Raw genomic sequence first — 4951 nt, forward strand, 5'->3', positions numbered from 1 at the left:
CACCTGCCCAGTTCCCTTATTAGGCCGAGACACTTTAACTAAATTATCTGCTTCCCTGACTATTCCTGGATTACAGCTACATCTCATTGCCGCCCTTCTTCCCAATCCAAAGCCTCCTTTGCGTCCTCCTCTTGTATCCCCCCACCTTAACCCACAAGTATAGGATACCCTACTCCCTCCTTGGCTACTGATCATGCACCCCTTACCATCTCATTAAAACCTAATCACCCTTACCCCCGCTCAATGCCAATATCCCATCCCACAGCATGCTTTGAAAGGATTAAAGCCTGTTATCACTCACCTGCTACAGCATGGCCTTTTAAAGCCTATAAACTCTCCTTACAATTCCCCCATTTTACCTGTCCTGAAACCAGACAAACCTTACAAGTGAGTTCAGGATCTATGCCTTATCAACCAAATTGTTTTGCCTATCCACCCCATGGTGCCAAACCCATATATTGCCCTATCCTCAATACCTCCCTCCACAATCCATTATTCTATTCTGGATCTCAAACCTGCTTTCTTTACTATTCCTTTGCACCCTTCATCCCAGCCTCTCTTCACTTTCACTTGGACTGACCCTGACACCCATCAGGCTCAGCAAATTACCTGGGCTGTACTGCCACAAAGCTTCACAGACAGCCCCCATTACTTCAGTCAAGCCGAAATTTCTTCCTTATCTGTTACCTATCTCAGCATAATTCTCATAAAAACACACGTGCTCTCCCTGCTGATCATGTCCGACTAATCTCTCAAACCCCAATCCCTTCTACAAAACAACAACTCCTTTCCTTCCTGGGCATGGTTGGATACTTTCACCTTTGGATACCTGGTTTTGCCATCCTAAAAAAACCATTATGTAAACTCACAAAAGGAAACTTAGCTGACCCCATAGATCCTAAATCCTTTCCCCACTCCTCTTTCCGTTCCTTGAAGACAGCTTTAGAGACTGCCCCCATCCTAGCTCTCCCTAACTCATCCCAACCCTTTCCATTACACACAGCTGAAGTGCAGGGTTGTGCAGTCGGAATTCTTACACAAGGACCGGGATCACGTCCTGTAGCCTTTTTGTCCAAACAACTTGACCTTACTGTTTTAAGCTGGCCATTATGTCTCCGTGCAGTGGCTGCTGCCGCCCTAATACTTCTAGAGGCCCTTAAAATCACAAACTATGCTCAACTCACTCTCTACAGCTCTCGTAATTTCCTTAATCTATTTTCTTCCTCACACCTGATGCATATACTTTCTGCTTCCTGGCTCCTTCAGCTGTACCCACTCTTTGTTGAGTCTCCCACAATTACCATTGCTCCTGGCCCGGACTTCAATCCGGCCTCCCACATTATTCCTGATACCACACCTGACCCTCATGACTGCATCTCTCTGATCCACCTGACGTTCACCCCATTTCCCCACATTTCCTTCTTCCCTGTTCTTCACCCTGATCACGCTTGATTTATTGATGGCAGTTCCACCAGGCCTAATCGCCACACACCAGCAAAGGCAAGCTATGCTATAGTACAAGTCACTAGCCCGCCTCTTAAAACCTCTCATTTCCTTTCCATCGTAGAAATCTATCCTCAAGGAAATAACTTCTCAGTGTTCCATCTGCTATTCTACTACTCCTCAGGGATTATTCAGGCCCCCTCCCTTCCCTACACATCAAGCTCGGGGATTTGCCCCCGCCCAGGACTGGCAAATTAGCTTTACTCAACATGCCCTGAGTCAGAAAAACTAAAATACCTCTTAGTCTAAGTAGACACTTTCACTGGATAGGTAGAGGCCTTTTCTACAGGGTCTGAGAAGGCCACCGCAGTCATTTCTTCCCTTCTGTCAGACATAATTCCTCAGTTTAGCCTTCCCACCTCTATACAGTCTGACAACAGACCAGCCTTTATTAGTCAAATCAGCCCAGCAGTTTTTCAGGCTCTTGGTATTCACTGAAACCTTTATATCCCTTACAGTCCTCGGTCTTCAGGAAAAGTAGAACAGACTAAAGGTCTTTTAAAAACACACCTCACCAAGCTCAGCCACCAACTTAAAAAGGAATGGACAATATTTTTACCACTTTCCCTTCTCAGAATTCAGGCCTGTCCTCAGAATGCTACAAGGTACAGCCCACTTGAGCTCCCGTATAGATGCTCCTTTTTCTTAGGTCGTAGTCTCTTTCCAGACACCAGACCAACTTGGACTTTGTCCCAAAAAACTTGTCATCCCTACTGTCTTCTGTCTAGTCATACTCCTATTCACCATTCTCAACTACTCATACATGCCCTGCTCTTGTTTACACTGCCAGTTTACACTGTTTCTCCAAGCTGTCACAGCTGATATCTCCTGGTGCTATCCCCAAACCACCACTCTTAACTCTTAAAGTAAATAAATAATCTTTGCTGGCAAGGCTATGCTGAACCTCCTTAGGCACTCTCTAATTAGATGTCCTGGTTCCTCCCAATTCTTAGTCCTTTAATACCTGTTTTTCTCCTTCTCTTATTCTGTTTAGTTTTTCATTTCATACAAAACTGTATCCAGGCCATCACCAATAATTCTAAATGACAAATGTTTCTTCTAACAGTCCCACAATATCACCCCTTTCCACAAAATCTTCCTTCAGCTTAATCTCTCCCACTCTAGGTTCCCATGCTGCCCCTAATCCTGCTCGAAGCAGTCCTGAGAAACATCGCCCATTATCTCTCCATACCATCCCCCCAAATTTTTGCCGTCCCAACACTTTACCACTATCTCATTTTATTTTTCTTATTAATATAAGAAGACAGGAATGTCAGGCCTCTGAGTCCAAGTTAAGCCATCATATCCCCTATGACCTGCACGTACACATCCAGATGGCCGGTTCCTGCCTTAACTGATGACATTCCACCACAAAAGAAGTGAAAATGGCCTGTTCCTGCCTTAACTGATGGCATTGTCTTGTGAAATTCCTTCTCCTGGCTCATCCTGGCTCAAAACCTCTCCCACTGAGTACCTTGTGACCCCCCACTCCTGCCCGCCAGAGAACAACCCCCCTTTTTCCTTTACCTACCCAAATCCTATAAAACGGCCCCACCCCTATCTCCCTTTGCTGACTCTCTTTTCAGACTCAGCCCGCCTGCGCCCAGGTGATTAAAAGGTTTACTGCTCACACAAAGCCTGTTTGGTGGTCTCTTCACATGGACGCGCATGAAACATGTAATACAAGGTTCTTGAGAACTTGGGCCTTTTTGACATGACGGCTTTACTGATGAATATCTCACTAGGAAGCAATGTTTGTTTAAGGCAGTTTTCCTGATCACATAAAAATATCAATAACCCCTGCTGGTACTATGTCCTCCAAACTCAGCTGCCTCTGTGGGAACAGCTATTTATATGCATTATAGTTAATTTGCTTTTTAAAGGGAGTGAAAATTGTCCTTCTGATATGTGCAATTCTAATCCTTGGGCCTGGCAACCAAGAAGGTGGTTCATGAGAAGTATTGCTTTCAGATACATATTGATGACAAGAAACATCCCTTGGGAAGCATATGATGTTGATGTGAAAATTATGGCTTTGCCTGTAGAAGGCTTTCACCCAGTCATCTCCTCTGCCACTTTCTTCTCACTGGAACTAGAAGTGGAGTGTGGCACCTGAACTGTAGGTGTACCCGATACTCCAGATGGGGAAAAGGTACAGCTGATGTGGGAGGTGTTTTAGAGCCAGCCCCTCTTCAGCCACATAGACTAGGCAAGCAGGTGGTTCTATCTGTGTCTCTAATGTGGTGTTTGTCACTGCTTGCCTTGTGTTCTTGTTCTCGGTGATGTGTCTAGATTCCTTCTGTAAAGCAAAAGTTGTGTCCAGCAAATCTCTGTATTCCCCCAAACACATAGGACAGAAGCACTATGGAATATGTTCAGGTCTATAGAAATGGAAGAAAGGAAAGGAGGAAGAGAGAGAAAGAACGGTGGGGAGGGAGGGAGGGAGGAAGAGAGAGAAGGAAGGATTCTATTGCTGATAGAGCTACAGTTCCACTTTGGTGCCCATACAAACAAATATTTCCCAGAATTTTTCTAAGCTGTCATAGTTCTTGGGTTCATAACTGAGAAGTTCATATATTCCAGTGTGTTAGATTTTTAGTACAATTTAATAAGATTTAACATAGGTAAAAAGAAAAGATAGAAAACTATATTTCTACGAAAATTTATAGAATGGCACTGTGTGGTGGGCGCTGTACTGACAGTGTGAAGATACATTCAATCACAGATAAATTTGACAAACATTTCTTGTGCACTTAATGTGTTTACTGCTCCTTTTGTGGGGAATATAGCAGTTAGCAAAACAAAGTCCCCATCCTCACGGTCAGGCCATGTGGTTAGGCTCACCAATGCAGCCTTCAAGGAAGTGATGCATAGGGAAGAGGTTAAGATGCACATGTGCCCTCTACATCCTGTCTTCTCTCCCTACTGGATGTCAATGAGACATCAGAAGGTGTCTGTGTCGAAGATGCAGACCAACTGTCAGCCTTGATCTCTTGATGACTTTAGGGACAGAGTCTCACACCCATCCTCTCAACAGAAACCTCTGCATCAAACTCTAACATGAACAACAAATAAACTTTTACTATGTTGGCTACTGAACTTTGAGAGGTTATACATTATAGTATTTATTGACCCTTGTCTACTGTACTCACTCAACCCCACTCAACCCCACCCAGCCAGGTGAACTCCTTTGAGACTTAGTTTAGATATTGCCTCCTCCAAGAAAACTTTCTGATCACTTTACCCCTTCATTCACCAGACTAGTTTTAGTATTCCATTTAACACTTCCATATTTCATTTATGAGTTGTGTGTGGTTTTAAAAAATTACGTGTATATTTTTTGTCTTCACTAAAATGTGAGCTCCTTGAAAGAATAGACTATTTTATTCTTCTTCGCCTCTCCAGAGCTTAGGACACAGACTGACACAAAGAGGTGCAGAAGAAATAT

General features: G+C 43.9%; 1 annotated feature.

Annotated features, from left to right (window-relative positions):
• Nucleotides 2579-3166: an enhancer, noted in NCBI's record as "OCT4-NANOG hESC enhancer chr1:241602586-241603173 (GRCh37/hg19 assembly coordinates)". NCBI's record gives its function as "activates a minimal SCP1, AML or CMV promoter by ChIP-STARR-seq in primed H9 embryonic stem cells {active_cell/tissue: H9 hESC(primed)}" and the evidence as "EXISTENCE:reporter gene assay evidence [ECO:0000049][PMID:30033119]".

Source organism: Homo sapiens, chromosome 1 (assembly GCF_000001405.40).
Source record: "Homo sapiens chromosome 1, GRCh38.p14 Primary Assembly".
NCBI lineage: Eukaryota > Metazoa > Chordata > Mammalia > Primates > Hominidae > Homo > Homo sapiens.